This window comes from Homo sapiens, chromosome 1 (genome assembly GCF_000001405.40).
Source record: "Homo sapiens chromosome 1, GRCh38.p14 Primary Assembly".
Lineage (NCBI taxonomy): Eukaryota > Metazoa > Chordata > Mammalia > Primates > Hominidae > Homo > Homo sapiens.
In genome coordinates, this window is record NC_000001.11 from 70,949,084 (window position 1) to 70,973,209 (window position 24,126).

The 24,126-nt window shown below is 36.8% G+C and overlaps 1 protein-coding gene across 11 annotated transcripts in view, besides 1 other annotated feature; it reads right to left on the reverse strand.

The window, feature by feature from the left end:
- PTGER3 (prostaglandin E receptor 3) overlaps positions 1 to 24,126 on the reverse strand; it is a 195,459-nt gene that overhangs the window by 96,726 nt on the left and 74,607 nt on the right. For 5 of the 11 annotated variants that reach the window (XR_946714.3, NR_028294.2, NR_028292.2 and 2 more), the window contains one exon: positions 4,680 to 4,706. The exons of 3 other annotated variants lie outside the window; for them this stretch is intronic. Coding sequence is in view for 5 of the 8 variants with exons in the window: in NM_198716.2 (NP_942009.1) it covers positions 4,680 to 4,706 (27 nt within the window). In the remaining 3 variants the exon portion in view is untranslated. Of the gene's footprint in view, positions 1 to 3,348; positions 3,977 to 4,679; positions 4,707 to 21,698; positions 22,651 to 24,126 lie in introns of those variants that run through there. 3 more of the 11 variants (NM_198718.2, NM_001126044.2, NM_198719.2) reach the window with 2 other exon arrangements.
- Positions 14,483 to 14,982: an enhancer, noted in NCBI's record as "H3K4me1 hESC enhancer chr1:71429249-71429748 (GRCh37/hg19 assembly coordinates)". NCBI's record gives its function as "activates a minimal SCP1, AML or CMV promoter by ChIP-STARR-seq in primed H9 embryonic stem cells {active_cell/tissue: H9 hESC(primed)}" and the evidence as "EXISTENCE:reporter gene assay evidence [ECO:0000049][PMID:30033119]".

The following is a 24,126-nucleotide window of genomic DNA, read 5'->3' on the forward strand; positions in this document are numbered from 1 at the left end:
TGTTGGGAAAAGTTTATGCGGCGGAAGGGAGTTACATACACAAACACACATCTACGGATAAATATACGAAAGATTTGTTTCTTATAAAACAATAGGAACAATCTAAGTTTCTGAGGTTAATGGCTCCTCCCTTAAGAAGTTTAGTATTTCATAATTTTCTGTGTACAAAATGCAGTTTCACATTGCCTGTGCCCTAAATTGCTTTCTGATGTTGAATGATAGAAATCATCAAGCGACATTAAATTAATTCCACATCTCTAAGTTGTCCAAAGGGATTAAGCTCCTCCTCTTAAAGTGTCCCATAGCACCAGAGAATACTTGAGACACTGAACAGGAAAGGAAGAATATTCCAGACAGAAGGAGTAGCAAGTTTAGCCTTGGAGTCAAGGAATGTAAAATAGTTCAAAAGAGTACAGTTCAAGGGAAAGAGAAATAATGAAGTTAGACAAATGGTAAAGGTCATGATGGATTTTGTAAGCCTTGTGAAAGAGTTTGGAAAGCAATGAAATGCATCATTAACTACAAAGAAAAAAACATCAAGGACATTTTTACTGAGACTTAACTTGCCAAATGATTTTATGGACACTTGAGACATTCTAGTTTTCTAGATACTGACGCTGGCACAGGTAGGTGAAGGTCTAGATATTCTAGGGTAGCACTGTTCAATACAACTTTCTATCCTGTCCAATATGATTACCAGTAGTTACATGTGGCTACCAAGAACTTGAAATGTAGCTAGCATAATGGTAATTTAATGTAAGGCAGTGGATAGTGGAGGAAAATAGAGAGAGGCTTGCTGGGGATTAGACACTGGGAATATGGGCAGAACTCCAAAACCACCTCTGCAAATCCAGATCAACATTAAGAATATGGCAAAGTTCAGTTAATGTGGGACATAACAAATCTAAAAGAGTAAATGTGTCAAAGTCCAGAGGCAAATTCCCAGCACGTACTGGCAGGAGTTAAGGAGTGAAGGAAGACACGAAGAAGGGTCAGGAAAATTTTAACTTGATTTGTTAGAGTTATTTCAGAAGGTACAGAGTGTGAGCTCCATGGATTAACTTTCAGTGGTCTTAAATGAGAAACAGATTGAAGTAAACAACCTATTGCATATGGAGGGATTAACCAACCAAGAGGAAAACAAAGTTAAGGACATCCTGAGTGCCTTACTTCTTGCACATCTAGAACAATCAGCTGTCTAATAGTTAATATTTTCTACCTCAAACTCAAAGCCATTTATAAATAAATTTTTGCCAGAACTATGAAAGATTCCTTTAAAATAAACAGACTCTAAAATAATTCAGGCAACTGATTACAAAGAATGGAGGCATTCCAGTAGGACTAATTCCTTCACCTCACTGGGTCACAAGTTCCTCATAAGTAAATGACAGGGTGGGTTTGCTCACCTTTCACGGGAAAAAGGAGCAAGCGTATTGGCAATCCACTACTTTCAAACAAAATCAGACTAAAAACATATAAGAAAGTCAAATATGCAAGAGATAATGTATTTTAGAGTGGGGATTCTGTTCTACAGAGAGCTAAAACTGATTTAAATTTCATAAATATGCCTCTCCTTTTAGATATAATACCCAATAAATTCCAGCATTTCATGCTATTCTTCTTCTTCTTCTTTTTATTTTATTTTTTTTAGATGAAGTCTTGCTCTGTCGCCCAGGACGATCTTGGCTCACTGCAACCTCCACCTTCCAGGTTCAAGCGATTCTCTCACCTCAGCCTCCTGAGTAGCTGGGACTACAGGAGCCTACCACCACGCCTGGCTAATTTTCATTTTTTTTGTTGTTGTTTTTATTTTGTAGAGATGGGGTTTCACCATGTTGACCAGGCTGGCCTAAAACCCCTGATCTCAAGTAATCTGCCTGCCTCGGCCTCCAAAGTGCTGGAATTACAGGCGTAAGCCACTGTGCCAGGCCCATTTCATGCTATTCTTTAAATTTGCTTCCTTTGTAAATGAAGACACTATTAATCAGTTTAATTTTAATGTGTCCAATAGAAACTAAATGCTAACTATCGATTGCATGCTTAATTACTTTTACCTTTGTCTTAACTCTACTGTTCCTTACCTAACTTTTTATAACTACTTTCTGCATTTTTGCATCTTCATTTTCCACCCATTTTTGAATAATAAAAGAAAATAACAATAAAGCATTAAAATTATTTTTAACACCATTGTTCAAGAAAACTTAGAGATACTGTATAACCTATAGAAAGAAATCATAAGAAACAAACACTTGTTTGCTGATTACAAACCTCTAAATTTGGTGTAGGAAAGGTCATGTAAGAGTTTCAGTGCATAATTCACAAAAACACAGATGTATTAAAAGAGCAATGTATCAAAGTCAGGAGCAATTTCTTCTGTTCCCTGTATTTCAATATCTTTGCCTTTTACTTTGGATTTGTAGGATATTTGCATATGATGGGGAAACATGCTAGTATACCTTCAGCAGGGAAATATACGGAGTAGAAGAAGGAGATTGATTGGGCAGCACTGGTAAAGAAAAGGAAAAGAATAACAATATTAACTGAGCACTACCCAGGTACCTAAAGATGCACTTAATTAACTCACATATTCCTCACAGCAATTCCTTCACTCTTTACACTAATATTTCCTTAGCACCTCCAATGTGCCAGGCACTGTGCTTGGTAGATTCAAGGACAGACAAGACAAAGCCTGTCTCTGCCCTTGGGAAACTCATATTCTAATATAGAAAACAAAAAGGTAGACAGACAAACAGAAACAAATTACTAAATAGGACAGGCACCATGAAGGAAACAAATGAGCTGAGATAGTAAATAATAGAGAAACCTACTGTAGATAGGAATATCAAGAAAAAATGCTTCGAGAAAGTACTTAAGCTGTTAACCAAAGGAAGAAACAGAGCTGTAGCATGCAGGAGGTAGGGAAAAAAGTGGGATAGCATGTGCAAAGAACCTGGGGCAGGAAAGATCCTTATGTCTGCTGAGTAATGAGTGGGCTGGTGGGGGCAAGTGGAGAAGTATTAGGAGCAGGTGTGGTGGTCTAGCTGAGAAATTAGTTTTGCCTGAATTAGGAGTTTTAGAGATGGAGAGAAATGAATAGTAGAAGATATATTTTGAAGGTAGAGTCAACAGTACTTGCCACATTTACTTATTAATATTCTCACATAACAGATGAGAAATGGCCTGAAAGATTCAGAATTAAAGTTCTTGTAGTAAGTAACTTCGTGATGGGGTTATGAACCCTGCCTTCCTTAAAGCCCCTTCTACTACATCACACTTCCTAGTTTTGTTAATTCAAGGTTAATGTAGGTTTTATAGAGTCCTAAAAGTGGAAGTTTTTTGCCAGTCTAATGATGTTGAATTAGAATGTGTTTTAATAACCTGAACAAATAACAGATTTTCCATTCACAAACCCATAACCTTATGTCACTGAAGAGGGCATCAAATTCTACAAACACCCTTTACATATTTCTTCTGGACCAAATGTTAAAATACTCTTGCATTTCTTCCAGAGATGCACTGCATTACCAGCATGCATATGAAAAAATTTCTGTTGACTAAAGCAGCAGTCTTGGCAATTCTGAACCATGTGCTATTCTTACTATAAGTCTAAATTGGGTAGTTCGAGTGACCAACCAGTTTGTTCAGCTTTGCTAAAAATATGCCCATGTTTGCCCAAATGACCTGGCTTGCTGGTAATCTCCCACCTTTCCGAGTCAATCAACACATGGAAAGTGCTCAAAATAAGCAGGGATTAGAGTCACAAACTCAGCTGGAGGAGCTTGCTTTTTTAAAACACAGCACTCCTGTAGTTATTTTCTTCATGTTATTCTGTCTTTACTGTTGAGATTCTGGTGTACACATTAATGCTGCTCACGAGTACCTCCATTTCTTCTCTGTTCAGCACACGATAGGTTTGTACTTGCCCACAATGTGCAGTTGCCCTCTGTATCTGAGAGTTCTGCAAACTGCAGATTAACTAACCACAGATCAAAATATTGAGAAAAGAAAATAATAAAAAATAACAATATGAAAATAAAAATAATACAAATAAAAAGGTGATACAGTATAATCACTATTTATACAACATTTACATTGTATTAGGCATTATAAATAATCCAGAGATTATTTAAAATGTTCAGGAGGATGTGCATAGGTTATATGCAAATACTACTCTAATTTATATAAGGGATTTGAGCATCCTGGGATTTTGGTAGGGGGAAGGTGGTCATGTAACTAATCCCCAGTGGATACCGAGGAACAACCATACTTCTTTAGGTTGGCATCACATACTTGGTCTGGCAGTATTTAAGAGCTGCCATACAGTTCTTCCCTTCTGTGTGCAGTGGAGTCTAGTGATGCTTGAAGCCTCCAATAGCCTGAGTCTCTGATGAGGACAATGTGCTGCCAAGTCCCCACAGCTGATCCCCAACAGACATGTTATATGGGGGCAAAGACCTTTTGTCATTTTTAAATGCTAAGACTTGGGGATTTGTTGTTGTTGTTGCTGCTGCTACTATATATCCTAATCTTTGTGACTGGGATAGGTTCCTTCACATTCTTGATAGGAAGGAAAACACGAACTTTCAATTTAAGGAAATATGACAAACAGTACAGTTGGCAGAAAGTGAAGAGGTTTGGATTCAAATGCAACTAGTTTTAATACTATCTTTGCAACTTACTTGCTCTCTGAGTCTTCTTTTTCTCATCTGAAAAAGAGTAATAACAGTATAAGCTTGCTATAATTTAATATGCAAAGTTCCTAGAAGGATGCTAAACCACAGATGATGTTCAATGAAAATAGCTATTTCTGTGAGGGGTAATGGTAAATAGACTAAAAGTATAGCAAAAGATAAACAACATGGGCATGGCTGAATCTGAAGAGACTACAGAAATGGGGAACACTGTCATTCATCCCCTCGGTTCTGCCTACCAAGCATCTCCTAGTCATAGGCATGCTTTTCTGTCTCTTCTGTGTTCAACTCATGCTTTCCCTGTCCCGTCCCCACTCCTCTGTCACACGCTGCTCCCAGGAAAGTATATAGAAATCACTCACTAAGATAGCTGCATTTTAACAGGAATTAAGTTAAAGGGCTAAAGCTCCAACTTAGTATTTTAGGCCTTAGGTGGAAAAGGGCAGTGGATATCTCTCACCTGAACCCAGGCTGGCCAAGAGGATCCATCTAGCTTAATTATGTCCACTTTTTGGGTCCACTAACCTAGGAAGGTCTATTGGACCAGTCTTTATAAAAGACTTTTATGAGGCTTCATTTTGTGAAGCTGTCCAGATCTGCTGGAAAGACTACCATTATAGTTTGGCAGGATCTTCTGTGGGGTCAGGAGTGGGGACTGGCAGTACTAGTGCTGTATGTCGACATTACTCTTAAAAATGTTCAGACAGTCTTAACATAGTCTCCTCATATTAATCCTCACAGCAATCCTGCAAATGGGCATTAAGATCTTTGTCATAGATGATGGAACTGAAGCTTAAAGCTTTTAAATCATTTACCCAAATTCACGTATATGATAGGTGGAAGAGTCTATATTCCAAAACCAGTACCTCTGATTTCAAGTTTAATATCCTTTTTTCCCCTTTCACTATTACAGTTTTCTCTGTGTGAGAAAGTAAATTCAATAGGGTCTCTTGATGGCATTTTGCTATCATGTAATACAAATATTTCTTTTTTGTTGTTACATAGTTGGGAATTTGAAATTCTGTTTTCTACATTCAACACTAAAAGGAAGAAAAAACACATGACCGTTAAAAAAAAGAAACTACAAATATACTACTGAAAATGAAATTAAAGTAAGGTATTCTATATTGTCATGTTTTCTGGCTAAAATAATACCCACAGTTTCAGAGAATTTTAATCTCTACCTATATGAAAAAAGAGAGAAGCGAATAGGGAAGGAAGCTAAGATTTTAGTCTCATCATTTCTTTAAGAAACTATAATTATTTTCTTATGGCTAACATAATTTCTAACATCAATCTATTTGCAGTCAGTTGTAAACATTGAAAATGTTTTGAAACTTACAGTGGAAATACAGAATTTGTAGCCAGACAAACTTGAGTTTGAATTCTAATAACACCACATAAATCTATAGGCCTTGAGGAAGTAAGTTAATTAAGCCATAAATTAGAGATGAGCCTCAAGCTTCTTATCTCTGAAATGAAAGTTTATAATAATAATCTCATAGAAAGGTGGTGGCTATCACATGACATAGTAGATATAAAGCACTTATAGATTATAAACTTTTTTAAAGTTTACTTCCCTTTTCTCTTTGCATCAGATAGATTCTCATCATTCTAGAAATAACCTGATTCTTATTCCCAAGTAGTGCACAATCAAGTGGATTTTATTCACTTAGTAAGTATTCAAAGAGAGAAAGCGAGAAACAGAGAAGAAAGATGGAGGAAAGGAAGAAGGGAAGGAAGATAAGGAGGAAGGGAGAGAGGGGAAAAGTCCTACTAAGAAAAACAATACTAAAATCAGATGGAGACATGTTCCTTCTCTGCATGATCTAATATTGTTCTGTTAGTAGAGATTGGAAGTACTTGGAGTTATCCATCCTGCCCTTGTCCTCTTTCCCCAGTAGAAATACAGGAAATAAAAAAAGTTTTATAACACTTCTGATAATATCACTAGAAATTGGTCATTAGTTCTCAAAGCAGAACTTCTTGCTTGATATATATTTGGCCCTATTTGATTTTATCATTCATTCAAGGGTGGAATTGTTACAGAAATATATTCTAGGGTCACTAATCCCATCACTATGCACAATTATACATTTATTTTTTGGACAACTGTCCAGATTCCAAATGTAAACCTGAAAGACCTAAAGAAATTTTTCAACACCCAGTCTAGGATTGATCTTAACTGGACTTTGGCTGTCTATGGCATCTCAAGTAGCTATTTCCAACTTCACTGTAGAGGACAGCCATTACAGGTTTGGGCAGCTATCTCCACCATGAGAAAGAGTTAATTTTTTGTATAATTTTGAAGTCTGAGTGAAGTTGAAGTGTGAATTCATTACAGGATATCGTGAATGTTGTTAAGTGGATCATACGAATGCAGTTCCCTCTATATTTCCTATAATGATTTGTATATACTCTAAGTAATTACAGGCATTTATATTTATAATTAGCCTTTTGGGGGAACCATTTTAAGAAAATGATTTGTCCAGCTGTGTACCAGATTAGTATCAGCCAGGTGTTTGTCAAATACCACCGTAACTGGGAAAACACAGCAAGAAGTGTTGATACAAAAAGAACTTTGGAAATATGCTTAAAGTTTCATTTTTTTTTTTTCCAAAAATAGTTGCATCACTTCTTAGAACACAAGTACATGTCTTTCAAACATGACTTTTTTCTTTAAAAAGTGGGGCATGAGTACACAAATACAGTGATGAAATGAAAAAATATAATCAATGGAATTTTACTGGCACAACGTAAAGGTCAGGATAAGACTAACAATACAAGCATTAGAAACAACACTGAGCAATGTTCTGAATGATCATGAACTGCCTTTAGAGGCTTCTAAAGCACCAAGATGAATTGGTGCCAACAACTGGACTATGGAGTCAAGATACCAGCAGAGGCAGTTGACCCAAACTCAAGATGAAACTTTTATAAATAAATATAGGCTGTGTGGTGGCTCACAGCTGTAATCCTGACACTTTGGGAAGCGGAAGTGGGCAGATCACTTGAGGCCAGGGGTTCGAGAACAGCCTGGCCAACATGGTGAAACCCCATCTCGACAAAAATTAGCCAGGTGAGGTGGCCCATGCCTGTAATCCCAGCTACTTGGGAGGTTGAGGCAGGAGAATCGCTTGAGCCAGGGAGTCGGAGGTTCCTGTGAGGCGAGATTTTGTCACTGCACTCCAGCCTAGGTGACAGAACAAGACTCTGTCTTAATAATAGTAACAATAGAAGTAAAGCTGTTTGTTATATTCTTGTGAAGATTTGTCTGTGTACAGGACAGAATCGTAAATTAAAATCCCCAAATAAGAAAGTCTGAGTCAAGAAGGCAACAGTGAGACAACTATTAACCTCTGTTTTCGGTAATAACATCATACATCTATTCGAATGTCCCCTTGTCCAAAGAATTATGTAAACCTTAATCATCTTTTAAATGGGCATCATCTGATTTCCTTTCAAACTTCAACCCCTAAATGAGTATATTGTTCTGATTTGGAAACTACCAGGGAGAAATCTGACTATTCAAAGCAGTGAAGTCAACCTGAGTTGATAACGTAACTGCAGGCATTCCTACAACATTTCATCCTCTCCAATATAAATAGAGCAATTTGACCTTCATTTAACTTGATCATTTAAAATCCATTATGAACAACATAAATATCTTTCCCACCATGTGCTTTAAAAACTTTGTACTATTTATTTTTTTGCAGGGAAAACTTCCAGATAATACAGGGTCAGAAATCTGACCACTTTTGAATTTTCTTCCTTTTTAAAATTTATTTTTAAATTTATAATTGACACAATAATATTACATATTTCTGGGGTACAATGTGATGTTTTGAGGCACATGTACATAGTGTAATGATCAAATTGGAGTAGTTATCATATCCATCATTTTAGACATTTCTTTGTGGTGACAACCTTCAAAATCTTCTCTTCTAGCTATCTTGAATATGTAGTACAATGTTATTTTTCTATAGTCACTGTATTGTGTAATACAACACCAAAACTTATTCTTCCTGTATAATTTAACGTTGCAGCAATTGACCAACCTTTTGTTGTCCCCCCTTCCAGCCTTTGGTAGCCACTATTTTACTCTCTATTTCTATGAAATCAATGTTTTTAGATTTCACATGAGTGAGATTATGCAGTTTGTCTTTCTGTGTCTAGCTTATTTCACATAATATAATGTCCTCCAGGTTCATCTACGTTGCTTCAACTGACATGATTTCATTCTGTGTTATGGTTAAATGGTATTCTATTGTGTGTCTGCATGTGTGTGTGTTTGTGTGTATAACAATTTTTAATCCATTCATCTGTAGATGGTCATCTAGGTTCATTCCATATCTTGACTACTGTGAATAGCACTATAATAAACATGGGTGTGCAGATGTATCATCAACATACCGATTTCATTTTCTTTGATATATGCCCAGTAATGAGCTTGCTAGATCAAATGGTAGTCTATTTCTAGTTTTTAAAGGAAACTTTATACTGTTTTCCATAATGGCTGTATTACCTTATATTTCCACCAATCGTGTGTAAGAGTTCCCTTTCCTTTGCCAGCATGTTTGTCTTTTTGAAAAAAGCTGTTTTAACTGCAGTGAGGTGATACCATTGTGGTTTTGATGAGCATTCCTCAGGTGATTAGTGAAGTTTTGCATTTTTAATCTATCTGTTGGTTATTTGTATGTACTCTTGTGAAAAAATGTCTATTCAGGTCTTTTGCCATTTTTTATCTGATTTTTTGGGTTTTGGCCATTGAGTTGTTGAGTTTTTTATATAATCAGGGTATTAACTTATTATCAGATGCATAGTTTGCAAATATTTCTCTCATTCTGTAGATTTTCTTTTCACTTCATTGATCATTTCCTTTGCTGTACAGAAGCTTTTTAGTTTTATGTAATCTCATTTGTCTATTTTAGCTTTTGTTGCCAGGGCTTTTGAAGTTTTATTCAAAAAACCTTTTCCCAGTTCAATTTCATGAAGCATTTCCTCTATCTTTTGCTGTAGTAGTTTCATAGTTTGGATCTTATGTTTGAGTCTTTAATCCAGTTAGAGTTGATTTTTGTATACTGTGAGAGATGGGGGTCTAGTTTCATGCTTCTGCATGTGGCTATCCATTTTTTTCAGCACCATTTATTGAAGAGATTGTCCTTTCTCCAATGTGTGTTCTTGGCATCTTCGTCAAAAATCAGTTGGCTGTAAATGCATGAATTTATTTCTTGGTTCTCTATTCCATTGATCTATGTGTCTATTTTTATGCCAGTATTATTCTGTGTTGGTTACTAGAGCTTTGTAGTATATTTCGAAGTCAGATAGTGTGATGCATCTAGCTTTGTCTTTTTTGCTCAGAATTGCTGTGGCTATCTGGGTCTTCCGTGGTTCCACATAAATTTTAAAATTGTTTTTTCTATTTCTGTGAGGAATGTCACTAGTATTTTGATAAGAATTGCATTGAATCTGTAGATTGCATTGAATCTGTAGATTGGGGTAATATGGAAATTTTAATGATTGTTTTCTCCAATCCATGAACATAGGATATCTTTCAATTTATTTGTGTCCTCTTCAATTTTTTTTTTTTTTTTGAGATGGAGTCTCACTCTGTTGCCCAGGCTGCTGGAGTGCAGTGGCAAGATCTCAGCTCACTGCAACCTCCACCTCCCTGCTCAAATGATTCTATGATTCTCCTGCCTCAGCTTTCCGAGTAGCTAGGATTACAGGCAACTGCCACCATGCTTGACTAATTTTTGTACTTTTAGTAGATATGGGGTTTCACCATATTGGCGAGGCTGGTTTTGAACTCCTGACCTCGAATGATCCGTCTGCCACAGCTTCCCAAACTGCTGAGATTACAGGCATGAGCCACTGTGCCCGGCCCCTCTTCAATTTTTTTCATCTATGTTTTATAGATTTCTTAATTGTAGCCAGGGCTGACGTGTCATTGAGATTTTTATTCAATTTTTTAAACACTTTAAGTCCCACAGACAACATCATGTCAGGTCTTTATGATTTTGGAGTTTAGATTTGGTTTCCTCCCTCTATGAACCCTCCTTGTTATAAATTGATTTTGTCACCCCCTTTCAAATTCATATATTGAAGTCCTAATTCCTGGTACCTAATGCGACCTTATTTGAAAATAAGGTCATTGTAGATAGAATTAGTTAAGATGAGGTAGGATGGGCCCCTAAATCAATATAACTGGTGTTCTTTAAAAAGTGGGAACACACACATTCAGGGAGAACACTATGTGAACCTAAAGGCATAGATTGGTATGCATCTACAAACCAAGAAACTCCAAAGCTTGCTGGCAGAAGCTATAAGAAAGGGGTGGAGCAGGTTTTTCCCTCACAGCTCATGGAAGAAACCAACAGTGCCAACAACTTGATCCTGGACTTCCAGCCTCCAGAACTGTGAGGTAATAAATTTCTGTTGCTTAAACCACTCAGCATGTGGTATTTCATGATGTCAACCCTAAGAAACTAACACTAATACACTTTCTTCACAGTTGTGCCAGAAAATTGTCTCATTAGCTGATTAGTGACTCCCTTATTATTTCTGCTTTTGTACATTGAGTGGGAATATTTGCATATCATTGATGCCAGAATCTATCCTTCAAAATGATGGCCATTTTAAAAATGGATAATATCTTTAAGCATTGCCTTGCCCTTCCAAAAGGTGAAAAAAAAGTGAGGCTTGGTAAGGAGGACAAGATCTGCTAAAACTTGCCATTAAAAAATATTATAGCAGATCTCTGGATACGTTCCAGTATTAAAACACATTTGACAGAAATATGAGAAATGAGAGACCATACTACCAATGTCATTCTATCAATGTCTTTAAGATGAGAGCAAAGAAGCAAGAGGATCAAGGAGGAAAATAATAAAGAATCCTTGCTATCAAGCAGAAAGGGGATTGGCCTTGATCAGTGGGAAAGTTAAAAAGGGCCACAAAATTAAACTGCTCCTTAAAAAATAGAAAAGGAGATAATGAAGTCAAGGGAAAAGCAACATTAGTATCTGGATTTAATTCATGACCTTCTTAGTCCTAGGAGAATTTGGGCCAGGAGAATTTCCTAATCAGCAGCTGCACTCCCCACTTCTAGTTCTCTGGGCCACATTTGACAAATGTAGATCTGAAACTTTAATATGGATGAGAATCACCAGAGGTCTTCTAAAACAGATTGCTGTCTCTCTTCCCACTGCACCCCATAGTTGCCATTTCATAGGTCTGGAGTGGGGTCCCAATAACTTGCATTTTTAATGAGTTCCCAGGTAATGCTGATGCTGCTGATCTGGGGGCAATACTTTAAGAACCACTGGACTGTAACAATGTCAAACCTGCCTGATGAGAAGAATCACCTGGAAGGTTTAAAAAAATGCAAAATCCTCGGCCCCATGCCAGACTTTCTGACTCAACCTCCAGGGAAGAGCCTAAAATTTTCTATTTCAACAATCCTGCCTGATTAATATGATTAGGTGAGTTTGGAAAATGCTACACCAAATCTCTATAAATTCCCTTTTTTAGCATCTGTTGTTTTTCCACTTGGTTTCAGTGAATTTTGCAATATGGCAGTAGCTATGTGATGAGCTAAGAGTAGCACAAGTACTAGGTTCTGTACCTTGAATTTCCTGATCCCATTGGCTGACCACAGTACCCTGCTTTTTCTTTTTATGAACATGTGCCTTGGGAGAGAGTCTTCCTTAATCCCAACTGGCCCTGGTATCATGATGTCATCCAGAGGCCACTCTGAAACCAACTCAGATGATGTAGCCTTCACTGGTAATTCTCTGCTTATCTTTCACTCTTTCTTATCATACAACATGCATATTTTGCTCTGAATATTAATGGTGGCTCTAGCCTCAGGCTGTTTCCTCTTAACTTTGAAAGTATTTACGTGTGAGTTATGCTCTACAAGTTTTATTTCAAAAGCACTTTCTCTTTATTTGGCAGGAATATTCTTGCTGGCACTTGCAGAGGAAATCCCATTGGTTCAGCAGATGGCTAATGATAATTGAAGTTAACTCTTTAGAGAACAATTAGAGATTTCCAAAAGGATTGTAGTAAAATTGCTTAGGGCCCTATCATGCCCATCTGCTGCTTTTGAGAACATATAATTCCTATCTCTTAGATCCAAATTCCAGCCACAAACTCAAAGTTGAGGCACCCTGTAAATGGCTTTCTTTGGACCTTCTTTGCCTTTTGGGGATTTGTAATGATTCTAAATATAGTGACCTGATATAGTTTAGCTCTAATTTTTGCAGCAGCACTGCAAGTAGATGTTACTCTATTTTACAAATAAGAAAACTGAGGCTAAACAAGATCAGATATAGAGTCTTGAAGATTATACAACTGCCTAGTATCAGTCAGGATTCAAACCCACAGCTATCCAACTTACAAGCCTAAGCTGCTCCTCTAAGACGACTCTATTCTACTTTTGAAGAAATGTGGGGTCAGGTTTGAGAGCAACATTTTAATTTGTTATTTTTCCTGGAGTTTCCAAGATTGTGTTTAAATTCTACCAAGTGAGAAAAGGTTACAACAATCATCCTTAGTTTTGTTTGCTATCTCAACAGGACTCTGCGTGCTTTGATTCTAAATGTAAAATTAGCTCTGTCTGTTACAGGAAAGCCATCAACTGGGCAGTGTATTAGTCTGTTCCCTCACTGCCAACAAAGACATACCTGAGACTGGGCAATCTATAAAAAAAAAAGACGTTCAATTGACTCACAGTTCCATATGTCTGGGGAAGCCTCACACTTCATGGTGGAAGGTGAATGAGGAGCAAAGTCATGTCTTACATGGCGGCAGGCCAAGAGAGTGTGTGCAAGGGAACTCGTCTTTATAAAACCATCAGATCCCATGAGACTTATTCACCATGATGAGAACAGAACAGGAAAGACCTGACCCCATGATTCAATTACCTCCCCTCAGGTCCCTCCCACAACATGTGGGAATTCTGGGAGCTACACTTCAAGATGAGATTTGGGTGGGGACACAGCCAGATCATATCATTCCACTCTTGACCCCTCCCAAATCTATGTCCTCACATTTCAAAACCAATCATGCCTTCCCAACACTCCCCCAAAGTCTTAACTCATTTCAGCATTAACTCAAAAGTCTGCAGTCCAAAGTCTCATCTGAGACAAGGCAAGTCCCTTGCCTGTAAAATCAAAACCAAGTTAGTTACTGCCTAGATACAATGGGGGTACAGGCATTTGGTAAATACAGCTATTCCACATGGTAGCAATTGGCCAAAATGAAGGGGATGCAGGCCCCACCCAATTATGAATTTCAGTGAGGCAGTCAAAGCTTAAAGCTCCAAAATGATCTCCTTTGACTCCATGTCTCACATCCAGGTCACGCCAATGCAAAAGGTGGGTTCTCATAATCTGAGACAGCTCTGTCCCTCTGGCTTTGCAGGGTACATCCCCTCTCCTGACTGATTTCATGGGCTGGCATTGAGTATCTAAGGCTTTTCCAGGCACACCGCACAAGCCTTTGGGAGATCCACATTCTGGGGTCTGCAGGATGGGAGCCCTCCTCTGATGGCTCTACTAGGCAGTGTCTCAGTGGGGACTCTGCATGGGGGTTCCAACCTCACATCTCCCCTCCGTACTGCCCTAGCAGAGGCTCTCCATGAGGGCCCTGACCCTGTAGCCAATCTCTGGATATCCAGGCATCTGCACACATCCTCTGAAATCCAGGAAGAGGGGCCCAAACTTCAATTCCTGGCCTTTGTGTACCTGCAGGCCCAACACCGTGTGGAAGCTGCCAAGGCCCAGGGCCTGCGCCCTCCGAAGCCACTGCCTGAACGGTACCTTGGCTCCCTCTAGCCATGGCTGGAGCAGCTGCAGGGTGCCAAGCCCCTGGCCTGCACACAGCAGGGGGACCCAGGAATCCACTTTTTCTCTCCTAAGCCTCCAAGCCTGCGATGGAGGGGCTACCAGGAAGGTCTCCAACATGCCCTGGAGACATTTTTTCCATTTTCTTGGTGATTCACATTGGGCTCCTGGTTACTTATGCAAATTTCTGATGCAGGCTTGAATTTCTCCCCAGAAAATGGGTTTTTCTTTTCTATTGCATGGTCAGGCTGCAAATTTTCCAAACTTTAATGTTTCACTTCCTCTTGAACATTTTGCTACCTAGAAATTTCTTCCACCAGATATCCCAAAGCATCTCTCTCAAGTTCAAAGTTCCACATATATCTAGGGCAGAGGCTAAAAGCCGTCAGTCTCTTTGCTAAAGCACAGCAAAAGTCACCTTTGTTCCAGTTCCCAACAAGTTCCTTATCTCCATCTGAGACCATGTCAGCCTGGATTTCATTGTCCACATCACTATCAGCATTTTGCTCCAAGCCATTCAACAAGTCTCTAGGAAGTTCCATACTTTCCCGCATCTTTCTGTCCTCTGAGCCCTCCAATTCTCTAGGAAGTTCCAAACTTTCCCACATTTTCCTATCTTCTGAGCCCTGCACACTATTTCAACCTCTACCTATCACCCAGTTCCAAACTTGTTTCCACATTCTCAGGTGCCCTTTATAGCAACACTCAATTTACTGTATCAGTCTGTTTCCATGCTGCCAACAAAAACATAGCTAAAACGGGCAATCTATAAAGGAAAGAGGTTCAATTGACTCACAGCTCCACATAGCTGAGGAGGCCTCACAATCATGGCAGGAGGTGAATGAGGAGCAAAGTCATGTCTTACATGGCAGCAGGAAAGACAGCATGTGCAGGGGAACTCCCCTTTATAAAACCATCATCTCTTGTGAGATGTATTCACTATCATGAGAACAGACAGGAAAGACCCGCCCCATGATTCAATTACTTCCCAGTGGGTCCCTCCCATGACAGGTGGGAATTATGGGAGCTACAATTCAAGATGAGATTTGGGCAGGGACAGAGCCAAACCATATCAAGCGGTTATTCAGAAAATGTGACTAACTATTGGTTTTAAGTAACAAAAGGATGGTTTCAGTCTTGAATTATCTTGAATTATTATGTTTGCTCAAACTTTCATAGTTGATTGTTGCATATCTTCTTTCCGTTCTTTCTTTCTCCAGCAAGAATTTGTTTGTACCAGCTCTATGCCATACACCGTGATAGACACACCAGACGTGGAAGTGAGAAATATGGTTCCCATCTTGGATAGCAAAGAAGATGGACAAATAAACCAACAAATTAAACACAGAAAAACGTTTTCTAAAGGAAGGAGGTTTCTTGAAGGAAGTGGTACTTCTGTTGAAATATGAAAGATGAGTGAGGGTTAGTCACATACAGAAAGGGAGAAGGGAGTATCCAATGTAGATAGAACAGCATATGAAAAGCACAGAGATGTGAGAGAGCAGGTAGGCATTGCTGTAAATCCAGGTGGATGTAAAAAAAATCAGAGCCTTGCAGGAACTAGGTTGTAGAAAGCTCTGTGGACTAAGTTTAGTTGGTTTAACTTTATCCTAAAAGTCACAGGAAAATATTAAAGATGTTTAAAAAAGAAAAAAAAGCAGATTTTCATTTTATTAACAAAACATAACTCTGGCAGCAGGTGTGGAAAATGGATGGAGGGGCCAGGACCAGAAGAAAGACACCTGTTACTGAAGCAATGCAGATGGGAAATGATGGAGACCTAGATGTAGACCATGCCAGCAAAGACGGAGGGGCAGAATTGAGTAATACTTGTAGAACTAATGTAACTTACAGGATGATTAGATACATAGAAAGGAGACTAACTCAATCCTTTATTTTTCTTCCTTTTTCAAAAGTTTTTTTAAGACTATATTACTATCTTTTCCCCATTCCCTCCATACTTAATATGACAGTTAGCTAATTTTACTTGAATACCTATGTCTTATTCTTTACCAACACCATCAAGCAGCAGCATCTCCCTACCACCACCACAACAAGCAGCAAGTGTTTATGGAGCACCTCTTAATAAATTATCCTTTGTCTTGTTTTGTGACAAATTTACATTCCTCTCTGCTTTACTTTTGCTTTATCCTGTATTTTTCATTGTTCTGTGGTTTAGCGTGTATTTTCTTCTGCTCTTCCAGGACCATAGGATTTCAGAGCTTGTTACTTAAGTTCTCAGGTTTTTGATATGTACTTGGAATTTTATTTTTTACTACTTTCTCAAAGTAATGCTCCACAAATATTTCTTATGTAATTCCAATGCATCTAAAGAGATTTAGCATTTGAGTTTTATGTTAAACCAATAAACTGATTAAAGCCATAATTAGCAATCACCAACTTTTATCTGGAAATAAACTGAAAACTATTATTCACTTACTAAGGCTCTGGTGTACTTATTTCTGTAAAGAGAACACTATACTTTGCTCAAAGAAGTAATACAATTTATATTTTCTCCTGTTCTCATGTGTGCAAATTATGTTCATTTTATTGTACAGGCTATATATCTTCTGCAATACCTTCATCTGCCTGTAGGTGTAAAGTTAAAATTCAGCTCTTCTGTCAAGGTAAGAAATTAGATAGCTGGCTAAAACAAGTTATTTCAGTGTATACTGCTCAGGTGATGGGTTCACCAAAATCTCACAAATCACCACTAAAGAACTTACTCATGTAACCAAATAACACTTGTTCCCCCAAAACCTATAGAAATAAAAAATTTTAAAAAATGAATATAAAAAAAGAAGTTATTTAATATGCAGGCTTATATTTATCTAGTTTTTCATTGTTTACATTTTTTCTTTATTCTAAAAAAAACAGGATGCATGCACAAAACGTGCAGGTTTGTTACATAAGTGTACATGTGCTATGGTGGTTTGCTGCACCTATTGACCCATCCTCTAAGTTCCCTCCCCTCACCCCCGACCCCCCAACAGGCCCTGGTGTGTGTTGTTTCCTTCTCTGTGTCCATGTGTTCTCAATGTTCAGCTCCCACTTATGAATGAGAACATGTGGTGTTTGGTTTTCTGTTCCTGTGTTAGTTTGCTGAGGATGGTGGCTTCCAGCTTCATTCATGTCCCTGCAAAGGACATGATCTCATTCCCTTTTATGACTGCATAGTATTCCATGGTGTATATGAACCACATTTTCTTTATCCAGTCTATCACTGATGGGCATTTGTGTTGGTTCCATGTCTTTGCTATTTTAAATAGTGCTGCAATAAACATACATGTTCATGTGTCTTTATAGTAGAATGATTTCTATTTTGGGGGTATATACCCAGTAATAGGATTACTGGGTCAAATGGTATTTCTGGTTCTAGATCCTTGAGGAATCTCTATACTGTCTTCCACAATGATTGAACTAATTTACATTTTTTCTTAACAGCAGTCATGTCATGCCATGTTAAAAAAAATACAGATGTTTTCTTCAAGAAGTCTAAGGAAAGACTTCCTTGTACTACTTAAATAAGACTGCCAAAATGGCATAATATCAAAAAAGAAATGTAAATAGAGAATCAACTGCCAACTAAATGCCACCATTACTCACAGTGTGATATCACCTACTTGTCTTAGGCATCATTCATTTATATTATAGTCTGGTCCACCGAGACTATTCATCACATTTTTATTGAGCAATTTCTATGTGCTTAGTACTGACTCTGCTAGGCTCTATAGGTTCTCTGTAGGTGCTTTAAGTCCTGCCCACAATAGCTTACAATGTGGTTGAGATTTAAATAAAAATACAGAAGTTTTTAAAAATATATCTTGTACAAATTACCTTAAAGTAAAAAAAATTCAGATAATGAAAATAAAGCTGTCGAAAATCTAGGATGAGCCTAGAAATATTTTGTATTAATAAAATAGTCAGTAAAAGCCTGGATTAATGAAAAATATGAGGACAGATATTTTTAGTATGGCAATTAAACACTTCTGTAGTCATAACTAAAAATATAATGATAAGCGTATATTTTATACAGATCCTTAAGATACCTGCATAATGACAATTATCTTAAGAACAGTTTTCTTTGAAATGTGCTTCCAATTACAAAGGATGTTGAAAAACTTTTTCTCTTAGTTTATCTGATTTCCTTATAGCTTTTATTTCATTATTTATTTAATTTTTGAAAATTGTTCTTTTAGATACTAAAAACACAGACCCAAGTCAACTCTGTCTGAATTTTCATATATTCTGTGGATATATTTTATTATGTAAAAGATAATGACTCTACTTTTCTCTTCCCTCCTTGGGAGAACTTAGATAAATATACCTTCTGACGGAAGCCAAAGCTTCTAAACACAATATTCTCTGTTCTCTTACGTATCCCTGGCTAACAGATCTCGGCATGGCTTGGCATGCTTGTTCACATTACCCTGGTCCAACCTCTCTTGGGAACAGCACAGCTGAGTTTTTTGTTTATTTGTTTGTTTATTTTCTTTTACATTGGGTTGCACTGATGCTGAATGAAAGCACTAATGCTGCAATACAATGGGGGCTGGAGTAGGCAGCAGTTCATTTCTTCCAATGCAAAAGCTGTAAGTTTAAAAGTACGTGGAATATATTATATGTATAGTCAGGACTCATGTCCATACAGCCCACTTAAAGCATATTAATGTTATATGTTTGTTTCACATATGTATCCCACAGAACTTTACAGTAGTTACTATAATTAAAATAAAACTGTAGATCAAACATCAGTTCTTCACAAGTAACTTTTTTTTGGCAAAGTTCTTAAGGATCTTACTTTATTTTGAGGGTTAGTTCTATCTTTATTATAACCTTGTTGCATAATGACAAGAATTTGTGTTTATTGAAAATAACAAAAATGAAGATGAAGCTACTTGTTAAAAACCAGTGTTTTGCTGAATTACAACCCAGAGTATTTGAGTACACATATAACATAATATAACATTATTTTCAATGAATTTGTACACAATGGATACATTTGTCTAGATTGTAAACAAAAATGTTCTCTGTACCTGCTCAATTTTTCTGTGAAACTAAAACTACTCTAAAAACTAAAGTAGTTTTTTAAGTATCATATATATATATACTGATATGTATATATAGATATACAGTTTCTCTACATCAGATTTTAAACTAATTGGACAAAGATATTTCTCATTGTATGAGAAGTATCTTTGCCAAATAGTCATTATTTTTCTAACTTTTCTAATTATTTTGTTACTTATTACTTTAACAAAAAAACCTTTAATAAACATGCTATGTAAAACTTCATGTGGGCTGAGCATGGTGGCTCACACCTGTAATCCCAGCACTTTGGGGGGTTGAGGCGAGTGGATCACTTAAGGTTAGGAGTTCAAGACCAGCCTGGCCAACATGGTGAAACTCCGTCTCTACTAAAAGTACAAAAATTAGCTGGGAGTGGTGGTGGGTGCCTGTAATCCCAGCTACTCAGGACGCTGAAGCAGGAGAATTGCTTGAACTGGGGAGGCCAAAGTTGCAGTGACCCGAGATCGCACCATTGCACTCCAGCCTGGGCAACAGAGTGAGACTCTGTCTTAAAAACAAACAAATAAACAAACAAAAAGCACTTCTTGTGATTATTCTCCCTGGATGTAGACATTTTTAAACAAGGAAAGTTTAACGTGAAATGACAACAACCACTAACATGAACAACAACATAAAAACAAAAAGCTATCATGTTCACTTATGTTAATCTTGTACATAAATGTTACCTTCGCTGATAATTTACTTAATTAGTAACATCTTTCTAGGTGTCAAACACTACACTAGTGCCAAGAGACCTGTGGAAAAAAATTAAGAAACGAGTCCTCTCCACCATGAATTACAGTTTTGTCACATGGGAAGAGACATATACAATGAAAATATTCAAGGAATAGTACAATACAATAGTCAAAATGAGTACTATGTAACTTCAAAGTTGCAGACAGAGGTAAGGAAAAAACAAAAATACTTAAAGTATTCAAGGCCTAAGGACAAGGTGAGATCTGAACATGTGGGAGGTGGGTAGGTTTTGCATGGACAAAAATTATCGTGAGGTCTTAAAAACAAGAATAGCATCCAAAGGATGGTTGGGGTTGATTCCGTTCATGACATTTAAACCCACAGAGTCAAGAAGCCGGTTTATAGTTGAAATTGAGATTCACATTAAATAGGTAGAAATAAGTCTGGGTAAAGAATCAATCATAGTAAATACTTTCTGAGGATCTATCGTGTAACACTCATTTTATGTACGTTATTACAATTACCCTACAGGTAAGTACTATTATCTTCAATTTATAGATTAATTTATTGAGATGCAATTAACTTTCTCAGAGTCACAGAGCTTGTGAGTGGCACAGCCAGATTTAAATCCAAGTTTGATTCCAAACTCATGCTTCTGTTACCACATCACTTTGTCTTGTAAACAGAATATCACTGCAGCAAATCTTTCATCCCATTGTGCTGTAAGAAGGAACAGTACACCTGGAATTTTAAAAACTTGAACCTGAATTTGAATTCTTACTTATGTTAGGTATGAAAAATCGGTTAAGCCCTTTATAAACTGTACCATCTTTTGTAAAAATAAAATAGTGAATAGATGACAGCTAGTCACACAGGTGAATGAGGAACAGATAGAAGTAACAGAAGAATGGACATTCTTCTGATGTTGGCAAATACTATGTACTCAATAAAATTCACTGAATTTAAACCTAAGTAAAGGGATTGTGTACAGCATCAGCTTTGTGCTAGTTAAGACCATTTTAAATATAGATTTGGAAGAAAATAGTTATAGTTTATAGCTAATTCACAACTGCTTCTGCTATTTAAGAAGGACTCTACTATTGAGTCATTATAGTTGGCAGAAACGATATGTAGTCACAGCATATGATCCTACAGCAAAACTTCTGATACCATATTTTCATCGCTTCCCAAGATGTCCTATAGGTGACAGCATGGCCTTTAGCATGGTACCTAAAGAGGAGACACTCAGTAAATATGTGGTGAATTAAGCAAATGAGGGGACAGAAGAAAGGGAGGAAGAGAAAAAAAAGGACAAGAAGAAGAAAAGCTGATTGAATTTAAAAGCAGGTAACGGCATATCCGTTGAAAACTATTAGATGACTCAAGTATATCTTTTAGAAGTCCACAAAGTTTTTTATTTTAATACAGACAAAATAGATTCTTTTATTTTATAAAAACGTAATAAAGTTTGTTATTCAACAACTGTTATTTATTAATTTTGCCTTTGTATATGCTGCCAGAAAAGAAATATTAAGAAATCCTGACTTGGTCATGGTGAATCAGAAGGCCTACCTGGATTTTTTTATCACTCTAACTGCGCAGCTAATCATTCAACCTCAAATTTGTTTTTTATGACACTCCAAGGATGCCCTTAGCTGCATCACTCCTTTGTCATCAAAAGCTTAGAAATAACAATTAAGCAGATTCCTGAGTTACTAAATGACACATAACTAGAATTGAGACTTAGGAACTTTTAGTTCCATGCTAAGCCCACAGGGACACAACATCTCTAAAACATTAATCATAATTGGGCACAAATATTTTTTGTCACGATTCCCTCCTGCCCTCATTTGCTTTTATATGTCGTTAAGTTCATATCCTATTAATTGAATTATCACTCTCAATATGTTGACTTTTCACCATCATAAGCTTATACTGATTTTTCAAACTCATATTGCAAAAGCAAGCTATCATGAAATGTAAAGATGTCCACTTTGGTTAAGATTCACGTAAAGGTTTGAAGTTGGAGAAAACTCCTGGAACACAGGTCTTTCTTTTCATCACTTTTCCTCCAATCATCATCTGTGAAATTCTTCCCAACTTCTTAAATGCATATTCAAAATCCCATCCAAGAAACCAATCTAATATTCAGAGGCATGGATTATAATAATAAAGTTGATCTCCATGGGTATTACTGACAAAACAATCATTAAAATAAAAAGATAAAAATGAAGAAATAATCCAAATTAAAATATATAATTATCCTTCTCAGGTGGGAAGAAATATGCAAATTCAGGGAAGCAGGAATTGCAATAAAATGTCCAACTCCGTTCTTTCATTATCTGTTAGAATAGAGAGAGAAAGATGCAATAAGCATGGATGGGGATTATTTTTTTTAAATTTTGTGTATGGTGTGAGGAGTAAAATATAAGTAATAAATTTGTTTGCTTTAAACGTTTAAAACATTCTCTTTTGAAGTAATTACATGTGTTTTAGATTTAAAAAAGCAATTGTAGGCACAATAAATGGTCAAATAATCTTGTTGTAAAAACAAGTTTCAATTAGTATATAACTCTAGTCTAAAAAGAAATAAGGAAGAATAGAAGCTGAAATAGCCAGGAAATAGAATATTTTCCTATCAAAACATCAAAGTAGGCCAGACGCGGTGGTTCATGCCTGTAATCCCAGCATTTTGGGAGGCCGAGGCGAGTGGATCATGAGGTCAAGAGATCAAGACCATCCTGGTCAACATGGTGAAACCCCATCTCTACTAATACAAAAATTAGCTGGGTGTGGTGGTGTGCACCTGTAGTCCCAGCTACTTGGGAGGCTGAGGCAGGAGAATCGCTTGAATCTGGGAGGTGGAGGTTGCAGTGAGCCGAGATCATGCCACTGCACTCCAGCCTGTTGACAGAGCGAGACTCCATCTCAAAAAAACATAATTAATTCATTAATTAAAGTATTCTGTTTATTTTTTTAAGATAGTACACAGTGCCAATTAGTATAAAGCAAATTTTTTCACACACGGTTGATGAAATTTTAAATCTAATTATTTTCGCAAACAGTCTGTCTACATGTATCTTTAAAGAACATTAAATATTACACATTACTTATTCCATAAATTCTCCTTATGGTAAAATATATATATATATAAACAGTTTTTTCAAACCTCTGCCTTTCAGTACTTGGGTAATGATACAGTAATATTTTCATCAATGTGGCAAATTTGACCACAAAATTGACCATATGGTTAAGTAAGCTACAGTGTATTATTTAGATAACCTATTACATAAATATTAAAATGGCTTCACAAAGAATTTGCAAATGGTCTGAGAAATGCTTATTTTATGCTAAATAAAATGAGAACAAGATTAAAAAATGTATATCATAATATTAACATAAGTATGTAAAACAAAATTAAAAAACTGCAGGAAAAAAAGAATAGAAAAACATACACTAACATGATACTGAATTTTTACTGACTGGTGAGACTAAAGTTTAGTAAGCTATTTTTCTTTCTAATTTTCATCATTTTCCAAAGTTTCCATAGAGAACAGGGCTTATTTTTGTAACTGAGCAAAAGTATAATAAGATTTACTTTAAAAAATTAAAAATGGAGTTAGAGTGAACCTACCAAAAAAGAGATGGAAACAAGTTATCTCTCTTCGTTTCCCTTCATTGGTTTTCTAGGGAAATCTGTATTAACAGCAAAACAGTACCCAGTGTGCACGTGTGTGTGTGTGTGTGTGTGTGTGTGTGTGTGTTATAGACATAGATAGATAGACAGATAGATACATAGATATAGATAGATGATAGAT